This window comes from Homo sapiens, chromosome 9 (genome assembly GCF_000001405.40).
Source record: "Homo sapiens chromosome 9, GRCh38.p14 Primary Assembly".
Classification (NCBI taxonomy): domain Eukaryota; kingdom Metazoa; phylum Chordata; class Mammalia; order Primates; family Hominidae; genus Homo; species Homo sapiens.
Genome location: NC_000009.12, coordinates 68,428,716 through 68,453,504, shown reverse-complemented (window position 1 = coordinate 68,453,504; position 24,789 = coordinate 68,428,716). Strand labels below are relative to the sequence as shown.

General features: G+C 39.6%; 1 protein-coding gene across 3 annotated transcripts in view; it reads right to left on the bottom strand.

Annotated features, from left to right (window-relative positions):
• The window catches only part of PGM5 (phosphoglucomutase 5), a 174,451-nt gene that overhangs the window by 77,557 nt on the left and 72,105 nt on the right, over positions 1 to 24,789 (bottom strand). The window contains exon 7 of one of the 3 annotated variants that reach the window (XM_011518783.4): positions 22,560 to 23,818. The exons of the other annotated variants lie outside the window; for them this stretch is intronic. Coding sequence (XP_011517085.1) covers positions 23,806 to 23,818 — 13 coding nt within the window. The 3' untranslated portion in view covers positions 22,560 to 23,805. Of the gene's footprint in view, positions 1 to 22,559; positions 23,819 to 24,789 lie in introns of those variants that run through there. 3 annotated transcript variants of the gene reach the window in all.

Below are 24,789 nucleotides of genomic sequence, written 5' to 3'. Positions count from 1 at the left end.
TAGCCAGCTGTGGTGGTGTGCACCTGTAGTCTCATCTACTTGGGAGGCTGAGATGGGAGGATTGCTTGAGCCCAGGAGTTCAAGGCTGCAGTTAGCTATAATTATGCCACTGTACTCCAGCCTGGGCAGCAGCAAGACCCTGTCTCAAAAAACAAAACCAAACCAGAAAGTTTAAGATAAAATTAAGCGATGGTGGATGAATTTCCAAAGGAATTACATACAAAGGGTTGGCTGAAAAGGTTAATAACCTTATATGTTAATTTACCAAGTCCAGTGCTATAAATTTATTATGAAAAGGTAAGAGACTATGGTAAAAGTGGACTCTCTACTTTGGCAGGATATTTCAAAACCAAATGCTCATTTCATTGTAAAACTTCACAAAGAGGGTAGAGTATACATTTCTCACATTTACACAGAGCACCTTGTGGAGTTGGTGGTTTCATTCAGCACACATGGGAAAATGCTGGCTAAGATTTACCAACCAATATTTTCTTCATAGGACTATGATAGTGGTGGGGTCCAAGGGAATTTACTCCTACTGAACACTTTTGAAGAGCAAGGGAGAAGAAGGACTATGTTAAATGCTTTTAACTCACATCAAGGATTCCCAGCAAGATGTCTTGTCCAAAGAGCCTTGAGAAAGGAGATGTTGGAAGGTGATGCCTTGGAAGCAGAGATACCCCTCCTCCAGGTCCTAGTTTGCACTAAGCTCTGAACTCAGCAGGGAAGGGCAGCCCTGCCTTAGCATCCACTCTGGGACTAGCCTAGTGGGGACAGCTGAAGGCATGGCTAGTGAATGTGGCTGACAGTACGTCTGTTTGGTATCTGAGTGACATGTTCTCTGTTCCCCTGAGCAGTCTTGTTCTGGGGTTCAGATCCAGAGGATGTGGTAGGGGAAGAGGAAGGAGATGGGAACAGCAGCTGTTTGCATTCAGGATCACCCGTGCAGTGCTACCTGCACTGAGACCGATCCTCTCTCAGAGGTTCTAGTCGTCTATGGGAGACAGAGACCAAAATAGGTTGGTGAGAACAGGAAGTTCCTGAGATCAACTGGAGAAGCAGAGACTCCCCAGGGAGATGAGAAGGCCACTTAACTGACCCTCCCCCCTTCTCTGGAGACTGAGGCAAGGGCCATGTTGGTCTGCGTGGTTCCATTCCGTGTAGGGGCTCTTGGTGCTTAGGAGAAACTTCCTACTAAGAGAAGGGCAGGGAGCTTTTACTTCAGGGACTAACTGCCAGAAAACAAGCAAGCCTGCTGGTGGTAGAAGGGCAAAGGGCTGGTAGGAATGGAAGACTCCAGGGCTTCTGAGCTTGGAACTGCTTCAGGGGCACAGTCTTGTGGTGGGGCAGGGGGTTGGTGAGCAGTCCCTTTAGGTCAAAATCCCACAGCCTACAGTGGAGGGAGATAAAGGTGAATGGAGCAGGAGGAATACCTCTCTCTCTGTCAGGCCAGGGCTGAAGCCCAAGCTGTGCCTTTTGTGCTAAAGGTATCCCTTCTTCAAGATCCAGTAATTTATGGCTATTAAAAAGTATTGTAGCACACTGAGTTTCTCAGAACAGAACACTTTAATGCCATCTGCTGAAGCGCTGTCATAATAAATATTCAAGTGTAGGGTGTTTGCAATGGGAATAATGCCCCCTTGGTATGTGGTGCCCTTACACAGTGCACATCCTATGCAACTGGATGCAGCAGCTCACCATTGGCCTCACCTGAATTCAGGCAGAGTAGAATCTACTGTCCTCAAGTTCCCTAAGGACAATTCTGGTGTAGCAGGAAGTAGACTACACCCTTCAGAGACAGTCACACAATGGAGAGAGGCCCTGAAAGCCTTTCACCATCTTTGAGCTGTTAAAGACCCAACTTTGAATGGCATATTTTATTTTTTCCAATTGTGTGCCCTGTGCAAAAGCATTCGGTGGTGGTAAACTCTCTGAATGTGTGTTTATGAGGCCCCATCCCATATCATACCAAAAATATTAAAATATGTCCACATCTCACATAAAAATCTACTTTTGCTCCAAAAGAACTTGAAAGAATTTTTATAATTTTGCTTTTGAAATGACGAGGCTACAAGTCACTCATTTAATTAACTATTGGCAATGATATTGCTCACGCACACTCTGGAAACCTTTCAAAAGAAGAAAATATATCCTACAAATTATTCTAAAGTGTTATAGTGATTTCTTGAATATTAAATTTAAGAATAAAGTGACAACATGTGGTATTTTATACATATTCAATTACGCAGTTAATCGTGTTGGCATTGCGGATGTCTTCATTTTGGAGCTTATAATTGTTTTCAGGTCTTTAAGTGGGTTCATGAATATCAACAGTCCTAGGCAAGGGGTTGAAAGTGCCAATGAGGGATAAAATGCATGTGTGTATGTGTGTGTATGCTTGTATGTGTTTGTGTATGGATGTTCAAGTGGGTAGGTGGCTGTGTATTTTGGGGACACAGAAGGATAGTTTAACTCAGCAGGACCTTAGGTTATTTCTCGCACAATAAGGTTTCAGGAAGAATCCTCCACCATTCCTACAATATTCTGCATATCTTGTTTTTGCTTTCATAAGGTTCTACAAATTTATTTCCGAACATTCCATCCCAGAATTCTCTCAGTCAGCTCACATTTTCTCTGTCAATTTCCAATGCAGTTAATTATGCAGATTTCGAATATGAGATACAGACACATGCAATCCCAGCACACTAACCCAGCACTAAGCTATTGACTGAGTTTCTCTGAAAATCTTGAAACAATGTTCCAAGAGTCAGAAAAGAGAAATGATCCTTCACTTATAACATATTTTCTAGCTGGATGAAATATGACAGTGGATTTTTCCCCCCTCATGAAACCAAATGTGCATATCCAATCCAAATAAAAGTGGCAAATTTACTTCATATGATGTAAACTTTTATTAAACTTACAGTATGATTACACATATGGAATTCCCAGATAGTGGCCTTAAAGGCCTAACCTAGCAAACAAGCTTGGACAGTGTTTCCCCCTCTTTTTGGCAAGCTGTAAAACATTCTGAGTTGGGGGAGCTGGAGGTACTTGATCATTCACCTTCGGAAGAGGTTAAAGTTTTTTACACTTTCTTGATAATAAGAACCACCTGGGGTGCTAATTAAAAATGTGAATTCCTGGGCCTCTTTGCTAGAATATTCTGGGTTACAGGTCTTGGTTAGAGCCCAGGTGTCAGTACTTAAAAGCAGTGGTTTTTTTGTTTGTTTTGTTTTTGTTTTTGTTTTTATTTTTTATTTCTAGAGATTCTTGTTTTTAGGCAAGTTTAAAATAGTTAAGACAAACTGTACACAAATGACAATGATCAATTAACATATGCAATTGTATATCTCTATTCACAATTTTAATAGCTGAATTTTGATTCATGTATCATACAGTGTTTAAGAGGTCCTCAAAAGGGGTTCACACTTGAACTGACATTGAACATTGGTGCTGGTATGAGAGTCTACCATGTGAGCATGCTGACTATACTGGTCAAACCCCAGCAGGCTGAGGTCCAACTCTTGCCTCCCCTGGACATCTCTCTTAAATGTAAGCAAAGCAATTGTCCTCCCCACCCTACCCCCATAGCTGTAAGCATCTCACTGGATTTAAAATCTGACAGACTGGGGTTTGAAGTTGCACTCTTACACTATTAATTCTGCGACACTTGTAAGCCAGTCATTTATCCTCTCTTATCCTCAGTTCCTGCATCTAAGATTAAAGAGGCTGTGCAGTAGAGTGAAACAAGCTCTGGCTCCTTGGGTAGACAAACCTGGGTTCAAATCCTGATGCCCACCTTTCACTAGCTTTGGGGACTTGGGTAAGTCACTGCTTTTCTACAAGCCTTCACGTGCTCATAGGCAGAGATGGGGGCAGTTGCGACACATGATAAACACTCCATAAATGCAGCTATCACTTAACAGGCAGAAATCCTTACCTTGGGTAGGGGAAGGTGCCTGTGTGAGTTGAAAGCTCTCTGACCATGGGGTCCCCATCAGAGGGCACCCATAGCTGAAGTTCACCTTGAGGAAAAGAATCTCTCCTCTCTTGAGGAAATACTCCTCAATTTTACTTTCCAGGGACTCCAAAGGCTTGCAATTCCCAGACAAGCCATTCTTTTTGCCCTCCAGGGCTTGGTGATGCTGCTTCCCTCACTTCGGCTAGCTGAGTCTTAATTGTCCTTTCAGTCTCAGCTTCTGGGAAGCAAAGCTAGAGCCCCAGGGCTATAGACTAAAGGTCTGTGTCCACTCCAAATTCATATGTTAAATCTTAACCCCCAACGTGATATTATTAGGAGGTAGGCTTTGGGAGGTGATTAGTTCATGAAGGTGAAGCCCTCATAAATGGGATTAGTGCCCTTACATTAGAGACTCCAGAGAGCTCCCTCGACCCTTCTGCCACATGAGGATACAGCAAAAAGACAGCCATCTATGAACCAGGAAGCAGGCCCTTGCAACACACTGAATCTGCTGGGTCCTTGATCTTGGACTTCCCAGCCTCCAGAACTGTGAGAAATGCATTTCTGTTGTTTATAAGCCACTCAGTCTATGGTAATTTACTATAGTAGCCCAAGTGGGTGAAGAAGTCTAGAATGAGAGGCCCCTCCTGGGGTTCCCCAGAGAGACACAATCAGCCCACAATCTGCTGTCCCATAGCACCTAGAGCATTTCTGCCACAACACCTTTCACACTATGCTGTCCCCTGCATGCATCTCCAGCAGCTTCAGGAGGACAAGGGCTGTGTCTTTCTCTGAATATCAACTCAGTTCAGGGTCTGGCAATGAACAGGGCTTGAGGGGTGCCTATTGATTGAACAATGATCTCTGGACTATATTCCAATGGGCGTAAGAAGGATTATCAAAAACTCAGGAGTGAAGAGATTCTAATATACAGAGCCCCAGCTGCTTTGAAAATCACTGCAGGTAGCAAGTGGTGCTCCTGCTGCAAGTGGACTTTGGCTGCACACAGAAAAAGAGTTTGAGAACCCCTGAGCTAACTGAGAAGAGAAGAGAGGTCCTGGTTAATGCAGGTTTGTTAATGAAATTAGCATGACTCTTGGGTGCTGGGTGGAAGCCTCTAAGTGGGAACAGGCTGTGCATGAAGGTGCAGGGGTCTCAAGAGAGGCTACACGCAGCCTTCCCTAAGTGTCTCCCCAAACAACCCCTCCCTGGGTGACTCGGCTACCTGGGTGCCCTGGGAAGAGCGTTGCTACTGCTAGACCTGTCCCAGAACAGAGGGTTCATACCTTTGGAGGACACATACTGTCACATTTCTGTGATTTTTAGCCTCTCCTGCAGACTTTTGTTTACTGGGAAATATACTTCAAAAAGGTGGATTTCAAAGAAGGAAGTGAGTCTAGGATTAGAAGCTACTGGAGAAGACAACCTATTTGCCTACAAGTAGAAGCCCCTCCTCCCCTCAAAGCCCCTTTTCCTCTTCCCTCTTCCCCATCTTGTAAAATAAACCATAGTTTATTTCAGTGAAATTTCTATAGGTTTGCAACAAACCCTTTCTTTTTCTTTGCTCCAATTTAATTTGTTTCTGCCCCTGGCAACCCAAATGCCTGTATTTAAACAACCAGTATCCTCAGACTACTAACTGGAAAACTGAATTACCAAGAGATTAAATAGTTTGTCCAAAGCTATGAACTGGTAAGTGGCCGGGCAGGGAGTCAGGCCCTGTCCTGTCCAATTCCAGAACCCATTCTCTGTACACTGAATCATGCCAAGATGTTCTTAGGGACCTCTATGGGTATTTCTGGATATGTTTTGCCTATAAAAAATTGTTTATAAAAAGCGTGCTGGATTGAAATAGTGGAACTGTAGGAAATACTTGCTGCAAACACCAAAACTATAGCCTTCTTCTAGTAGTAATAATAATAATAATAACAGCTAACATTTCAGCATTTACTATGTGTTAGGCATTGTGCTAAACACTATAAAAGGATGTTATCACCTTTATCCTCCCCATTCTTAATAGAGGATATTGAGACTCAGAGAGGTTATATGACTTGTCCAAGGCCTCAGAGCTAGTACAAAAAAGCCCTGTGGTTCAAAGCCAGCTCTCTCTCTCTCTCTCTCCAAACTCGAGCCTCACTGTACAGAAGTGAATGGTACAGCGCAGGAAGGATAAACTGAAACCTTAAGGAGGCAGTGGTTGCTTCTCTGCAGCCATCATTATAATTCACAACAGGGAGGCAAGTACAAGTAATGTCAGGATGTGCAACTTGTGAAATTTTCACTAAAAGTCAGAAGGCCAGTGGTGAGATGGGATTTTAGTGAAAACTAAGAGGTCGGCTGCATTTGGCAGTGAGCATGATCCTCAGACATGTCCCTCCCTCCGGCTTGGCACCAGCAACCCCTTATGATTTATGCTTCAGAGTCACACAGAGCTTGCAGGCACCAACTCTGCAGTAGCAAAGAAAATGGATGGTCTGCCTTGGGATGTTTTCCCTGCACGCACCACGTTCCCTTAAAAGGCCTCCAGAGTGTATACAGTTCTGACAGGAGGGCAGAGCTAAGGAACGGCTGGGCCACTCTTCCCCCTTATAAGGTCAAGTATTACAATGGCATCCTCCCTTCTAATTTATGAAGCAAAAGAGTGGAGGAATGCCGATCAGGAGATGGGAGGATGTTTTACCAGAGAGACGATATAAAGCTCATCTTGCTGGCAAATGACTTATAAGACCAAGTGGAACAGAACACACACTTGATGAGTTGAGTTTCTTTTTAACTCTAGAGAATAAACACTTTTATTCCTCTCTCGAATGTCAACATTTCATGAAGCCAAAGTATATGCAGAGCTTCTCCACCCCAGTATTAGAGAAAGTGAAAAATAAAGCAAGAATAAAAACCTGTAGACTTCATCCTTCATAAATTTATCTCCCTCCTTTCCTAGCCTTCGTTTCCCCATTAAACACATATACACACAGAGACACGCACAGCACGTACACAACCAATCAGGCTTCTGAACAGAGACAACAATTTCATTTTAAACAGAACACAGAAAGAAATAGGGGATCAGTCCTCTACAAAGAGTTCTTCTCCCTAATGGGCCTTGCCCATGTTGTTAGAGGCTATAGACCAAGTTTCCCTATTCACTCTCTATCCTAAGGTTGGACGCAACGAAGACAAGAGGGTGTATGAAATGAGAATGTATGGGAAAGTGTGTTGCACATTGTAAACCATATAATATGCATAGTTATTTCAAACATTGTGGTAATGTCCTCCTTGAATTATTACTTTTTAAATTACTATTTATTGGTTTTAATACACAACTGGTTTCCTTGGATGTAACTGAGTATAAGTTGTGACATTATTTAAATTACTTTCACCCTTGTTATAATTCACTTTCATTTGGTCAGGCCTCTGGATATATTTGGAAGGACATACTGGGCCAAATGACCAATCTCTTCTATCTTGCCTCAAAAAGCCAAGGAACTCTTGGCATCCATGCTACATTTTAATGGAGCATCATACAAGGTAGTGGACAGGGAAAGACTCAGGCATTTTATACACATAAAAAATATTCCTTCACCATTTGTAAACCACATGTCTGTAAGGAACACCTTGATGCGAAACTGATTACTTTTAAAAGGCACTTGGAGATCCCCAGATACATGGTAGAGCACAAATAACTACACGTAAGAAAACAATGGACAACACTCCCTTCAGTGTAACTCCCCAAATGAGAGGTGTTTAGTGTAAATGTTTAGCCTGAAGGTTAAACTTCTTACAACCAGAAATTTACTAAAGCAGGCACTGCTGAGCCCAAATACATAGAATTTGAAAAGGTTCTATTTAAGGTCTTCATACGATCAGAACAATAAGGAAAACTCACAAGGTACTCACAGCAGACTCTCTACCCTTTGGGTTTATTGAATGGCTACACTTGAGTCAGAGTGAGTGAGCAAGTGTAAGGAGAGAATGCAAGATCTCCACGTTGTGTCCCAATATGCAGGCGGTGGAGCCCCTGGCTACCCTGGTGTCTGCTGTATTCCAAGCATCCTCACACTATCTAGGGAGCCTAGGAGGGAGCTTTCAAAGGGTATGTCCAGTTGTTCAACTTTAAACATTTTCTAAGTGCTTGCAGCTCCAATGGATGGGGTTTCCTTCTAGGGACTGGGAATCAAACAGATGGTGTGCAGGTCTTTAGCTTTGATCACCTGCATTGGAATTACCTGACAACGTTGTTTAAAAATGCAGACTCTTGGGTTCTGTTCAGAAAGAATGGATCAGAATCTCTGGGGATGGGGCCCTGAAATCTGCATTTTACAAGGGATTTTTTTTTCCACCTATCTAATCCTGATAAGATTCTTACGCACTCTAACATTTGAAGACCACTGCTATAAGCATTAAAAAAAAAATCCTATTGAGTTTAACACAGTTTTATACTCAGCTAAGAAATTAAGTTATGGCCCTAGACCCAAAGTATATATTTCTTAAGATTTGTAACAAAAAGGGATATTAGGGGACAGCTAGTTCAGCCTCTTCAGTCTTTAGATGAAGAAAGCAAAGCTCCAGGCAGAGTAACTGACTTGCCCTGGGGTCGTAATGCCAGCTGAAGGCCAATCCCTGTGGGAGTTCTGGTCCAGGTCTAGTTCCAAAACTATTGCTCTTTCTGCCATAATACCCACCACCTTTTCCACTCCTTCCTGTACCCCTTCTTTGCTTATCTGTACACCCTCCAGGGGTGTTTAGTTTAAAATGTAGAATAACCCACCATGGTGATCTGAAAGCTGTTGTTTCTGCCTTTCAAATACCCAACCCCTGCTGAAGACAAGAGACCACTGGTTTACTTTTGTAGAACTTTTCCCCTCCCCAGTGTATGTCACTCAAGGTGATCTCCTCTTGCCTGGCCAAAGAGTGGGCATGCGACTCAACTCATACTAAGAAAATGCTGAATCTTGAGTGAAGTGAGAATGGGGGAAATGTATGTCATTTCTTCCTTGATCTGGAAGATAATTCTCTGGAGAGATTGCCCATACATAATTCCTACCACCTAGGTTCCTATTATTTTTGAGACCAGCTTTTTCATTGATTCTGGGTTACTCCTTATCCTTCCATTGCATTCCTTTTAAGTAATCTAAAATTGGTCTTGCTTCTAGCACCCCAATAATTCTACTTGACCCATTTCCTTATATCATAACCATATGCACTAGCATTTGACTGAATCCTATGGAAAGAGAAGTTAGGGTCAAATATCTCCCTTTTGGAAGCAGAGAGGATGTGAGACTTGCAGTTGGATGGGTGGGGATGAGGCAGTACTGGAAATCCCAGTCTCCCTCAATGCCCACCACTCTACTTATTCCAAATAGCTCAATATTTCTGTCTTTGATCCCAAAACACCCCATCCTTGAACTAAAAGGCTATCTGTGCAACTGAAAATAGAAAGTCATGAACTCACAACTGCAAAGTGATCCAAAAAAAAAAAAAAAAGAAAGAAAGAAAGAGAGAGACTCTTCTAAGTAGCACATGCAATCTCCTCAAGATCCAGTGCCAAAAAGCAAATGGGCTCCACCATATCTGCACAAGTAGACAGATTGCCCTCCTTGTCAGTCTGGGTTTTACCTTTAACATTGTCTCCCTCAGACAGGACCCTGATCCCTGATGTACACTACATCTGCATGCAATTTCCACATAATAGGAGCAGGGCTCCATTACTTTAAAGTCTTAAATGCGATTAAGAGGTCTTTCTGCCAAAACCCATATTGCTCTTTTGTTACAAAGCTATACAAATATTTATGTTTTCTGTTTGACTTGGCAGAACAAAGGACTCTCAGACTCTCTACTGCTCTTGCTTTGAAATGACCGTCTATCTTCTGCTGCAAGTTACTTGCCCTTTACTGTGATTCTCCAAAATAAGTTCTAACTTTTTGGAGGAGAGTTGATAAAGAGGTCTAGCATTGGTAGTTGCTCCAGAGAAGTGGTACGCAAGCTGCACAGCACATTAGGATTAAGAGGGAAGCTTTGAAATATATTTTAAGGTTTTAAATTAACCTACAGTGAAATTGACTTTTTGCTGTGTTCTGTTTTATAAATTTTGACATGTGTAGATCTATGGAACTAGCACAACAATCAGGAAACATAACATTTCCATCAACCACAGAAACTCCCTCATGAAGTCACACACCTCCCTCCACCCCTAGCCCCTGGCAGCTACTGCTTTGTTTTTGTCTCCATAATTTTGTCTTTTTGAGCATAATACAAATGGGATGATACAGTATGTGACATTTTGAGTTGGGCTCCTTTCATTCAGCAAAATCATTTGACATGCATCCAAGTTGTGTGTATCAGTACTTCTGTTTAATTGCTGAGTAGTATTCCATTGTATAGAAATATCACAGTTTATTATTCACCTGTTGAAGGACTTTGAGTTGTTTCCATTTTGGGGGCTATTATGAATAGAGCTGCTATAAATATTTGTGTACAGTTTTAATTCTGTAGCTATAGAATAAGAGTGGGAGTACAGGGTCATATGGTAAGCATCTGTTTAGTTTTATAAGCAATTGACAAACTGCTTTCCAGAGTGGCCCATTTGGCATTTCCATCAGTACTATATGACAGCTCTAGATGATATGCATCCTCATCAACACTAAGGTATTAGCAGTAATTTTTATTTTAGCAATTCTAATTGTTATGTAGCAGTATCTCATCACAGTTTTATTTGCATCTTCTAATGGTTAATGATGTTGAACACATTTTCGTGTTCTTATTTGACATCCATATATCCTCTCTGGTGAAGTATCTGTTAAAACATTTTATATAATTTTAATTGGGTTAACTGTTTTAACTCTTTAAATATGTTGAAAAGATTATACCTTCTCATATGAATTGCTTTAGCACCATTGTCAAAAATCAGTCAGCCACATTTATTTAGGTGTATTTCTGGACTCTCTATTCTGCTTCATTATCTCTGCCTTTGCTAATAACACATTGCTTTCTGTTAATTAGAAAGTGTGATTACTCCCAGCACTTTGGGAGGCCAGGGTGGACAGATCACCTGAGGTCAGGAGTTCAAGACCAGCCTGGCCAACATGGTGAAACCCCATCTCTATTAAAAATACAAAAATTAGCTGGGCATGGTGGTGGCTCCTGCTGAGGCAGGAGGATCACTTGAACCTGGGAGGTGGAGGTTGCAGTGATCCAACACGGTGCCATTGCACTCCAGCCCCAGCAACAAGAGCAAAACTCTGTCTCAAAAAAAAAGAAAAAAATAAAGTGTGATTCCTGTAGCTTTCTTGTTTTTGAAAATTGTTCTGCCTCTTCTAGTTCCTTTGCCTTTCAATATAAATTTAGAACCAGTTTGTTTATATCTATCAATATCCTGTGGAAATTTTTATTGGAATTGTATTAATCTATAAATCAATTTATAAATAAATGACATCTTTACTATGTTGATCATGAACATTGTATGTCTCTCCTTCTAGGTATTCTTAGACTTTTTTTCATTAATGTTTTGTAGTTTTCAGCATATCGATCATGTATGCATTTTAATAAATTTACAGCTAAGTATTTAATTTTTGAGCAATCTAAATAGTATTGCTTTTTTCAATTCAGTTTCCAATTGAACACTGATAGTATATAAAAATAAAATTGACTTCTGAGTATTGATTTTGTATCCTCTGACCTTTGTGTGTGTATTACTTTGGATTTTCTATGTAGACAATTACGTTATTTATGAATAGAATCCATATTTTTTTTCCTTTTCACCCTATATGCCTTTTAATTCCTTTTCTTGCCTTATTGCATTGGCTGGGTCTGCTAGTGCAATATTGAATAACAGTGGTGAAAGTGGATATCCTTGTCTTGTTCCTGATCTTAGGGGAAAGGTGTTCAGTCTTTTACTATTAAATATGATTTTAGCTGTAGGGTTATTGTAGATGCTCTTTATTTGTTTGAAGAAGTTACCTTTTATTCCTAGTTTGAATGGATGTTGAAATTTTGTCAAATGATCTTGTGCCTCAATTGATGTAATCATGTGGTCTTTCTCCTTAAACTGCTAATAAAGTAGATTGTATTGATTGATTTTTAAATATTAAAACAGCCTCACTTTCCCAGTAAATCCCACTGACTTTTCTTTTTATATACTGCTAGATATATTGTGTTAATATTTTGTTAATGATTTTTACATCTATATTTATGGAATATCAGTTTATATTTTTCTTTTTTAAAAATTCTATCTTTGTCTAGTTTTAGTGTCAGGTAATGCTAGCCTCATAAAATGTGTTGGGGATTTTCCATCTTCTTCCTTTTTCTGGAAGATATTATTTAGAATTTTTTTAATGTTTGCAATAATTCACCAATATATTTATTTGCACTAGGATTTTTTGGAAGGTTTTAAACTATGAAGTCAATTTCTTTAATAGTCATGGAAATATTCAAATTACTTCATGTTGGGTGAGTGTTGATAATTTGTATTTTTCAAGGAATTGGCCCATTTCATCTAAGTTGTTGAATTTATTCATGAAGAGTTGTCTGTAGTGTCCTCTTAGTATTATTTTAAAGTCTAAAGGGTCTACAGTAGTATTCTTACTCCTGATGTTTATAATTTGTGTCTTCTCTCTTTTCATCTTTGTTGGTCTTGCTAAAGGTTTATCAATTTTATTTACTTTTCCAAAGAACCAGCTTTTGTTTCTATTGGTGTTTTAAATTGTTTTCCTGTTTTCATTATCATTGATTTCTACTTTTATCTTTATCCATTCCTTCCTTGGGTTTATTTATTCTCTTTTCTCTACATTATTAAAGTAGAAGCATAGTTTATTGATGTGAAACCTTTCTCTTATAAATATAAGCTCTTAATGCTTATATTAAAGAATTTCCCTCCTAAGCAATGTTTTACCTGCATCCTACAAATTTTGATGTATTTTCATTTTAATTTAATTTAAAATATCTTTAATTTAGTTCAAAGAATCATTTGACAAAATTTCAACATCCATTCAAACTAGGAATAAAAGGTAACTTCTTCAGCCAAATAAAGGACATCTACAATAACCCTTGAAACTTTTTCTTTGATGGATTATTTAGAAGCATATTGTTTACCTTCCAAGCATTTAGAGATGTCCTTGCTATCTCTCTGTTATTAAATTTTAGTCTAATTCTATTATGGTCAGGGAACATACTTTGCATGGTTTCCGTTCTTTTACATTTAGTTAGTTTGTTTGTTTTAATGACCCAGGATGTGGTCTACCTGGGTGAATGCTCCATGCACTTGAAAAAAGTGTATATTCTGCTGTTGGTTGGAGGGTTCTATAAATGTAAATTAAATCTAGCTGATAGATGGTGTTCAGTACTTCCTTCTCTTACTGATTTTCCATCAGATCTATCTGTTTCTGTCTGTTCTGTCAGTTTCTCACAGAAGACTGTTGATGTCTTCAACTATAATTATGGATTTGTCTATTTCTCTTTTCCATTCTGTCCATTTTTGCTTATGTACTTTAAAATTATCCTAATAGGAGCATATACATTTAGGACCGTTGGATCTTTTTGGTAAACTGACCCAACATGATTTCAGTTTTCAAAGACTTTGCAGTGCAGTTTAGTTCTCAAGTTTTGTATATACTGTTGAGGGTCAGATCTATTCATGCCCAGATCAGAGGTGAGCCCAGGAGTTTCTACAAAACTTTAAAAGTCATTTTCCCTAACTTCACCCTCTTTCTTGATATCCCTGATAATTTTCAGCTTCCCTGGGACTCTTTTTGGTTCTCTGACCAGAAATAAAGTTGGGGCTTTATTTACTCTGTTCTGCCATACACGTTCCATGTCTAATATTTATATATATATATGTGTGTGTGTATATATATATATATGTGTGCATGTGTATTATATATACACATGTGTATATATGTATATATATGTTCATGTCTAATATTTTATATAAAATATTAGAATGAGCTGGGGTAGACTCTGAGCTGTTGTGGGTAATCTGTAGCTGTTTGATCATCTTCTGAGAAACAGCTGTCATATATATATATGTTATATATATACACTCATATATATGGGCAGACATGGAGAGTATATGGCAGAACAGAGTGAATATATATATATTTTACATATATAATATATATTTATATATTATATTATATATATTTATATATATAAGCAGACTTATAAAGATATATATATATTTATATATTGAAACAGCATCTTGCCCTGTTGCCCAGGCTAGAGTGCAGTGGCATGAACACAGTTCACTGCAGCCTTGTCCCTCCTGTGTTCAAGAAATCCTCCCAACACAGCCTCCCAAGTAGCTGGGATCACAGGTGTTTGCCACCATGCCTGGCTAATTTTTTCAGTTTTCTTGCAGAGACAGGGTCTCACTTTGTTGCCTAGGCTGGCCTTGAACTCCTGGGCTCAAGTAATCCTCCCACATCAGCCTCCCAAAGTGTTGGGACTTCAGGCATGAGCCACCATGCTCAGTCTACCCACGTTTTGAAAGAAATGGGGTTAATGAGTAGGAAAACAGAAGAAAAAAGAGGCAACAGTGTTTCTCCCTAGTCTGTTGGGACCACCACTTCTCCAAGTGGCAATGAAGGCTTTCCTCCCTCCAAGTTTTAGGCTCTTTTTGGCCATCTTGGATTGTTTGGGAGCTATGGCACAGAGAGTAAAGAAGAGAAAGGGAAAAAAACAAAATGAAAAATGAGGAATCTCTCCCTCCTCCCCCAACATACACACAGAGACTCTCTCTGACTGTTAAGTTCCTCGAAACAGAACTAGAGGACTTTCCTGTCTGCATTCATGCCTGCTTCCAGGTTGCAGGCTATGTTGGGTTCAAGTGGAAGAATACTGGACAGACAAAAGAGAAACTCATCATCAGTTCACTGGTGTCTTAAATTCTGGTCTTCTCCAATCTATCTACTATTATTTACTTTTTCAGAGTCCTCAAATAGCTTGTTTCGTACATCTTGTCTAGACTTTATAGCCACATACAATGGGGAAGACCGTGGATGAAGTGTGCTTACTCCATCTTACTCAAAATCAGAACTAAATGGGAAGCTTTTTCAACATTCAGATTCCCTGACTCCACTGTAGACCTAATGAATCTGAAAGGGGAGCTGGGAAGTGGGAGATAAAAGGTAGATTTTTGGAAAGCTCCACAGGAAATGTTGATACACATCTGAGGTTGACAGTCATGTCTCAAAATATGTTCAAACAGCTACAGATTACCTTCAACCGCTCAGATTCTATCTTTTTTTTTTTTTTTTTTTTTTTTTTTGACAGAGTCTCCCTCTGTCGCCCAGGCTGGAGTGCAGTGGTGCGATCTCGGCTCACTGCAACCTCTGCCTCCTGGGTTCAAGCGATTGTCCTGCCTCAGCCTCCCGAGTAGCTGGGACTACAGGTGTGTGCCACCACGCTCAGCTAATTTTTTGTGTTTTTAGTAGAGACAGGGTTTCGCCATGTTGCCCAAGTTGGTTCTGAACTCCCGAGCTCAGGCGATCCACCCACCTCAGCCTCCCACAGTGCTGGGATTACAGGCATGAGCCACCTCGCCTGGCCAGGAACTCTGGGTTCCTAATCAGAGAGTAAATGTCTCCATGAGCCAAGCACGTGATGTGTGGTAAAGCAGCCAGCTGGATATGTGACAACAGAGAATTATGGGGACAATGATGAACTAGACAGCCTGTGTGGCTGTTAGAAACAGCCTCCACTCAGCTTCAGACAAATATTGCTATAGGGAAATGTAGGCCCAGTACTGCCAGAACTGCAATTTTTCAATAATACCACAACAACTTGGATTTTTATATGAAATATCCCCATTTTTAAAGGTTAGCAACATAATTCAAAAATAAAACTGCAGAGAATGTTTACTACTTTTAGTCTAGAGAGATACTGGCAGCATTTCTACAAAGTATTGTGGGTGTGTATATACAGTATATGCATGTGTGGGTAAAATGTGTGAGAGTGTGTGTGTGTGTGTGTGTGTGAGTGTGTGTGTCCCTTTGAAAAATTGATTCCTATCCTTGAGATGCCTAGAGATCCCCTATCTGTAGAAAAACCATTTGTTGTTTAGCAGCTTTGTAATACAGTATCGTGTAAAGCACAACACCAATCTGAAAGAGATATTCACCAACTTGTAGACTGTTGCCTAAGCATTGGGCTCCCTGAGGCTTTACTGTAAATTCCTTCCTCTTTAAGGCACACCATTTCACGAAAGTTGCCAAGCTTCCTTTTCTCCACTAACAATATCCTCTATCAGAGTCTCTTCCTTCAATAAGTACCCAGATGTAATAAAACAAGAGGAGAAAATTAATAAAAGAGAGAAAAATCTCAAAAATGATCATTAATCTATGTTGCCAAGAATTTTTAATTTGCATGTCACTGACAGGTATGTGTCATGATCTCATTTGATTTTAATTTCAAAGTGATGTGAACTGATGGAGATAATGAAGCCAAATGTATGCTACAAACACATTTTCATATACAAACCAGTTCTTAATTATTATCAATAATGGAAACTCAGGAGTTAGCTATGCATAAATACAAAGGCATTTTTAAATTTTAGTGAAGAAATTCATTAATACACTTATTTCCAAGCTGGTTCACTTAGCTGATGGGAGAATATTGCTATCACAATTAAAGTTAAACTCCTGAATGAGTCAGGAAATACATCTGGGTGGATGGTAGAGGGTAAAAAGCTTGGACCTTGGAGTCAGATAAATCTGGTTCTGAATTCCACAACCTTCACTTTACTAAAACATGACCTTGAGCTCTGGTTTCATCTTCTGTAAAATGTAGTTAATATCGAATTTTAAAAATCAGCTTTCCTGGTTGCAAGGAAAAAAGCCTCAACTCAAGTAACCTTGAATAACAGGGCAGGATTTTGTGAGATGAAGTGGTTGGTACAAATACACTTGGCAGTGAGGACACAGAAATTTCAATCATGAGGCCAAGCCTTCAAAGACATACAGGAAATGCTAAACAACCAGGTCTCAGAAAGAGAAAAAGCCTCATGTTGTTCAGAACTAAGGAGTGTATACAGTTTGTCATTGGCTTGTCATCACCTTGACCCAGATACTCCTTCTCTCTGGCTGCTCGTCTTCATTCTATAAGTACATTTTTTATCTTCCGGGTCCTGCTTTCTCATCATTCTGGTTGTGTATAACTTCCACGATCATCTTGACCTACCAGCTTCCCTCCGCCAATGACCTGTAAACTACTCCCACTAAGTCTTACCTACTTCTTATATATTCAAATTACTAGGTTCAGGATTATTAAAAACAAGACATGATAGGCTTGGTAATTCCCTGTTTGGGTAGAGCTTTTTGCTGTACCTCAAAGGACACTGACCAGTTTGTAATAGGCTACATTTGTGCTGGTTGCCCACCTTTGGGCTAATCTGTTATGGCTCAAGGGTGAAGTCTTGCTGTGGGAGCTAAGTTATGTGGTGTGAAATAGGCAGGTGGGTCTCCGGGTTAGTTCCCTTAGTAAGTGTGAGGATGTTGGTGCTGGGGCTGACATTTCTGGCACAGTAACTCCTTCAGGCCATATCTAATATAGGCATCCAGCACCATGCCAGATGTCTGGTAGGTGCAATGCATGTTAGTTTACCGAAAAGTTCACCAAGTTACTAACAAATCACCTACTTTGTAAGGTAGAATGCCAGGTACTGTGGCAGTAAGAGTGACAAGGCAGATGTGGTCCCTGTTCTTATGGAGTTTCTACTGTAGTAAATGAGACATCCAAAAATATATATAAGCAACTCAGCAAGCCCACTTTTAGATACAGGATACAGAGAAAAGAAAACACATGTTCACATAAAAACTTGTACACAAATTCTTAAAGCAGCATTATTCATAATAGACAAAAAATATAAACAACCCAAATGTCCATCAATGGACAAATGGATAAACAAAACACACTATAACCATATGGTGAAATATTATTAAGCCATAAAAAGGGATAAAGTTCTGATACATGCTACAACACTGATGAACATTAAAAACATGAGGCTAAGTTAAAGAAACCAGATACAAAAGACCTCATAGTATATGATTTTATTCATATGAAAGTCTGGAAAAGGGAAATCTACAGAGACAGGAAGTAGATTTGTGGTTGCTTAGGGATGGAGAGGTGATGGATGTATGATGGGGTGATAGCTAAAGGGTACAGGATTTCTTTTTTACCCGATGAAAATTGCCAACCATTATGATGATGGTTGCATGTATCTGTGAATAAACTAAAAACTATTAAATTGTATATTTTAAATGTGCAAACTGTATGGTGTGTGAATTATATCTCAATAAAGCTGTTAAAATTCTAAAAACTAAACACATGCAGAAAATTAATAAAATTAAATGTGCATGGGCTATAAAGGAAACAAGAGACTGAGATAAAGAATAAAAGGGAGGGGCTCTCCTTAGGTAGTGTGCTCAAGGGAGGCCTCTCTAAGTGGGTGGCACAGAACCCAAGAACTGGAGGAAGAATAGGAACCAGCTGTGAGAACAGCACTCCTAGTAGAGGAAACAGCTTGAGCAAAGGCCTGGAGGCAGGCAGGACTTATCAGGAGAATGGCCATCACTTTCTCTCCCACTTAGGATGCAAGTGTTTCCGAGTGACTTTAAGATAATTTTTAATTAATTCCAATTTATTTAAAAATCAAATTAACACCAGTCTTTGGCACCTTAACTATAAGTAGGAATAATTTATATGTGGTGTGCAGTAGTCACTCTAGTCAGGACCCTACATCACAGAGAGATCACCATTTTTTTTTTTTTGAGATGGAGTCTTGCTGTCTCTCAGTCTGGAGCGCAGTGGTGCGATCTCCGACTCCCAGGTTCAAGCGATTCTTCTGCCTCAGCCTCCTGAGTAGCTGGGATTACAGGCGCCTGCCAGCACACCCAGCCAAACTTTGTGTTTTTAGTAGAGATGGGTTTTGTCATGTTGTCCAGGCTGGTCTCAAACTCCTGACCTCGGGTGATCCACTTGCCTCGGCCTCCCAAAGTATTGGGATTAGAAGCGTGAGCCACCGCACCAAGCCAAGATCACAATTTTAACACCAGGTTTCACACCTTTGGCTAACTAGCAAACAAAATAATTTACAAATAATATTTTGCAGAGTGGACCTCAAAGTACCCTATCAATGCAAAATTCTCAACCATATCTGTATTGCTGTGAACAGATTTCAAATCTTCACTTTGACATTTTTTTCTTTTTTTCTTTTTCTTTTTTTTTTTTTTTTTTTTTTTGAGACGGAGTCTCACTCTGTTGCCCAGGCTGGACTGCAGTGGCACAATCTTGGCTCACTGCAACCTCTGCCTCTTGGGTTCAAGCCATTTTCCTGGCTCAGCCTCCCAAGTAGCTCGGGTTACAGGCACCCACCACCATGCACAGCTAATTTTTGTATTTTTAGTAGAGACAGGGTTTCACCATGTTGGCCAGGCTGGTCTCAAACTCCTAACCTCAAGTGATCCATCTGCCTCTGCCTCCCAAAGTGCTGGGATTATAGGCGTGAGCCACTGCGTCTGGCCCACTTTGATATTTTATGCGTTAAACTCGAATTGTCTCTTTGAGGGTCTCTTAGGAACTGGTGAATAGGATGTTTTATACAGGATAGTTCCAGACATCTGCAGACTTATTCAGTTAAGTATAGTAAATAACAAAATCCCTATCATTCTACTTTCCTTTTCTTTTGGCCCTGAGCCTTCAAAAAGCAGTAGGTTGAAAGAAACCAAACCATCTTTCCTGACCTCTTCATTTTATTTATGTATTTGATTTTTACAAGGTTCAGTGAACAAAACATGGCCTTAAAGTGAAAGATCACTATCACATGAGTGCTGTTATCTGACTTGGAACTTGATTAAAACCAAATCTGTTCATCGGCCAACAGGTCAAATGTGCCCTGTCCCAGTACTGGGGAACATTTAAGATCATGCATAAACACACAGCCATCAAACTGATTCGAACTGGACAAAATAAAACAAAATCTGGCCTAAATGAGAGTTTGCTCAGTGGTGGCTCTCAGCTTTCAAAAAACTGTGAAAGAAAAAGTCACAGCTTGAATATGTCAAAATAATCCTATAGGAGGTTAATGGATTTGTTTACTAATCAAAGCTTAATCAGAAAAAAAATTAGCTCCGCTCTCAACAATCTTTTAAAGAGCAGATTTTCATATTGGTTTGAAACAGCCCTAAATAATTCTCTGAAATTGGGCAAATCAATTTGTAAAGGTAAAGGCTCATGGGACATTGGAACACAGAGGTCATCTTCTGTTCCACTTTCCTCATTTCACAGAGATGTGAAGAAGCAGCTTGCCCAACATGAATAACTAAACAGCGACAGAATCCAGATTAAGTCCCCTGACTTTTGGGACAAAGGGTTTTTAACTTTGGGGAAGACGGGGGGTTGTAGCATCAGCAATTAAAAATTTGAAAGCACACTCTTTGACCTAGAAACTACAAGTTTAGAAATCAATAGTATAGAAACACTAAGGCAGGTGTGTCAAAAATATACATAGCAGGGTATTCACTGCAGTATTGTATATATAGTGCAAAATTGGAAGCAACCTATATATTGAACAATAGGGGAATTATTGTGTACAAGATTCCATCATGGTATAACGGAATAAAATAACTGTTTAAAAAAATATGGTTCATTTAGGCCAGGCGCAGTGGCTCGTGCCTTTAATCCCAGCACTTTGGGAGGTCAAGGCAGGCGGATCACCTGAGGTCAGGAGTTCGATACCAGCCTGGCCAACATGGAGAAACCCCATTTCTACTAAAAATACCAAAAATTAGCCAGGTGTGGTGGCAGGCACCTGTAATCCCAGCTACTCGGGAAGATGAGACAGGAGAATGGCTTGAACCCAGGAGGCAGAGGTTGCAGTGAGCCGAGATTGCACCACTGCCCTCCAGCCTGGGTAACAGAGTGAGATACTGTCTCAAAAAAAAAATGGTACATTTAAATATTCTGACATGGATATTCATGACAAACTGTAAATTGAAAAAAGCAAATTTCAGATTAAAGTGTAAATATAACGTCAATTTTTTTTTTTGTTTAAAACATGGTCAGGCACAATGGCTCACGCCTGTAATCTCACCACTTTCAGAGGCTGAGGTGGGCCGATCACTTGAGACCATGAGTTCAAGATCAGCCTGGCCAACATGGCAAAACCCTGTCTCTACAAAACATACAAAAATTTGCTGGGTGTGGTGGCGCTTGCCTGTGTAATCCAGCTACTTGGGTTGCTGAGACAGGAGAATTGCTGGAACCCAGGAGGCAGAGGTTGCAGTGACCTGAGATGGCACCACTACACTCCAGCCTGGGCAACAGAGCAAGACTTTGTCTCAAAAAAAAAAAATTAAAAAATAAAAACAAATAAATAAAAAACAACATAAAGGTGTGTGTGGGGATGTATGCACATACAATGTCTGAAAAGTCACATACCACTGTTAATAGTGATTCTGTATAGGAAGAGGGATTTTTTTAAAAACAAAAAACAACACAACAAAAAGAACCCCACAAGAATTATAAAACGACCCATTTCCTGAGGCATAAATGCAAGAAAGCCTCCTGGTCTGCAAACATCTCACACTCTGTAAAAATTCCAGGAGTAGATTGGAGGGCTGAGGTTTTGACACTGCATTGATCTTGATCACCCACCCCCATCCCCACCCCTAATACTTTGCTGTGAGAAATGATGTTCTTTCCATCTTACATGAAGTGCTATTCAAACCCAAGTTTCATTGTCCCCAGCAATCCCCTCTCAGACAGCTCCCTCCTTTAGCTACTCCTAGAGAGAAATTCTGGAAAATCTTGGCACAGAGTCCTAATAAATCCCCCATCCTTATAAGATGGAATAGACTCCAACTCTTAAAAGTGTATTTTGCCCTTCTAGCTGTTATAAGATCATTCTAGAAGAAGACTGTGATTTTATCTCCTGAGGTTTCTCTGAGGGCACACTCCATTGCCACAGCCTTCAGAACTGTGGACAGGTTGCCTCTTTTGGAAAGTTCAACAAAGTAAACTAAGAACTTTAATAGCTGCATTAAATCCTGGTGTTCTTTGTAAAAATGCCTTGGTGACAGTAATATTACAAAAAAATATTACTATCTGAGTATTTGCAGCCTCACTCTGAACCCTCAAGGCCTCCACTTCCCAGTAAAGATAATTTTGTCTTTGCCTGATCAGCTTCTCTTCTTTGTCTACCCCAACTTGACTCCTGGGTTCCTGTGATACAGAAACAGGAGAATGCGAAGAAAGAGGTAGGACTAGAAAAACAGAATACAAGAGGCAAAGAAAAGTGGACAGTGTTGGCGAGTAGTGGGAAGGCGGCAGTGGAGAACAAGGGCTCCAGATGGGCTGTGACAGTGAGGAAGTGGAGTTGGGGGAACCTTAGACGATGTGGCTAGGATCTGTAAATTGAATCTCTTTTAATGCGTTCTGAGGACTGCAAGCAAAACTTAGAGTTTCATTTGCTTTTGGTTGTTTCTTTGAATGTTACACTGCCCTGAAACTTGGTGACATAAGGCCCAGGATTTATTCAGGTTATAATATATTCTAGAGGAAAAGGTGGGTATGACACCTGTATGACTGTCTTTAAAGAGACCAAGGCACAAAATTGGTTGCTAAGGACTATTTATTGAGAAAATATAAATAGTTGATGCATGTTATGATGAATACTCTAATTACAAAAGACAGCTGAGATTCAAAGAAAGAACCATGTAACAAAATAAACTTCTAACTAGAAAATTACAATCACTGAAAGTTTTCAAACTCTGTTGTTCTTTTTTATCATAACAGTGACAAGACATGGAAAATTAAAATGCATATACTTAGGGGTATATGATTTCCCTTACTGAGATTTCCCTTACTATGGAAAGTTGAAGCCATTTTTATGCTTGGAAAAAAATGGCTGCAAGCCTCCAAATCAGAAACGGTATCCAGAGAAACCTGATTCCGGAAAAGTTGATGGATGCCTTTAATGTCCTTGGGCCTGGAGAAAATTAGGATGAAATTAGGAAAGAGGAAAATTTGAAAGTCAGTGAGGAAAGTACAAGGATTTACAAAAATACCATTCTAATTTTACTTGAAATTATTTACCTTTTATGTGAATGGTATAATTACAACCAATGATACATCCATAAGTTGAGTTTACTTTAACAGAATAAACATTGTGGAAAGCGAAAGCATGAAATGCACTCATTTCGCTCTCCATGAGACCCAGAGCTGTTTAGGCCCCAAGGCCATAGCTCACGCACATCCACTGCAGGCATAAAAATTTAGAAATAAAATAAAAACAGAAACAATCACTCTACGCTGGACTGAAAAACTCAACCTGCAGAATGATGACAAATATCCCATTGTTAAATTTCAAAACCATAGAGGAGACAAAGGAAACCATGTATTTTTAAAATTATTAATAGTTGAAAGCTATTTCAATTATGTTTATTTTTTCAGAGTATTTCTACATTTCAAATGATATATCCAACAGCAGAATTTTTAAAATTAGGTTTTGCATTTCAAACAAAGCTCAAAGATGTTGAGAAAATAAAGGAAACAAAACCAACCTCAGATACCCAGATACTGTTCCTTCTTCCAGCAACACAAAAACTGAGTCTTATTCAAGATCACTGGCATTCTTCCCTGTGCGACAGAGGACTGTGAGGTTCAAGTCCATACATGGCTGTCATTCAAAGGATGAGCATGGAAGAGTGGCTAAGAAGAAAACTGTTGTAAATCGCATCAGTGGAGATTATCTCTAAGAAGGATTTCCATATAGTGATAGCTGTTAAACTCCAGGATGGAGGCCTGAGAAAATCTGTGGCCTGTTCTCCAGATGTCAGGACAAATAGAAGGAATGCTTCTTAATCCAAGATGCTGCAATTGGTAGGAATCAATGAAAAATTGCAGAGGGGGATATTTGTCACCCCCTATTTCATTCTAAAACATATTTATTTCATTTAGCTTCCAAAAACATTGACAAAGACCATGGTCAGGTGGGGAGTTTCTGTCTTTTGAAGGCTGTAAGAGTAATGAGCACTTCCTGAAGGGAGAGTATTAAATTGGAAGTTTGAATTGACTCTTTGATATAAGCTTGTGTTTTGTGAAATTTGTGTTAGTGGTGAATATGATTGCCATTCTCCTGCTTTAGAATCTGGATTGGTTTTTTTGTTGATTGGTTGGTTGGTTGATGATTTTTTTAACATTTGATTGTATTTATTGCTCTAGCAATGCAGAAAAAAAGTGAGCTTCCCACGGTAGGCATATATCAGATTTAATTAGAGTTCTGTCCAATATCCGAAGCAGAGAATTAATATTTTCTTGAGATTTTTATGGTAATCGTAGTAACTAATACATACGAAAAGTTTATTATGTGCTAGACCTGTTCTAAGTGCTTCAGAGTTTAACTTCATATCATTTTTAAAACAAGATGGTACAATCCTTATAACCTGGTACTGTAACTGGAGCAGACCCTAAAAGTGTTGCATCCATATACTGTAGACCACTAGAAGACTCCAAACCAAGATCATTTGCATCTTCATTTTGCAGATCAAGAAAGCGAAGGACATAAAAGTTAAGAGATTTTTCCAGGCTCACCCAACTAGTAAGTAACAGAGTTGATGTTTGAATCCAGTACTGCATAATTGATATCACCTCCCCATTTATGTGGCAGTAACTTTTTGCATGAAATCAGAGTTATAAGGAGCATTCTCCGAAACACAAATATCATAGAAATTTCATGAAGTTTCATAGAATGTATGTGCATATAAAATTGCAGAATGTGAAAGACAGAGATAGCAACTTCTAGGAACAACTGGGTCTGCCACAGCTGGTTTGAATTAACATTA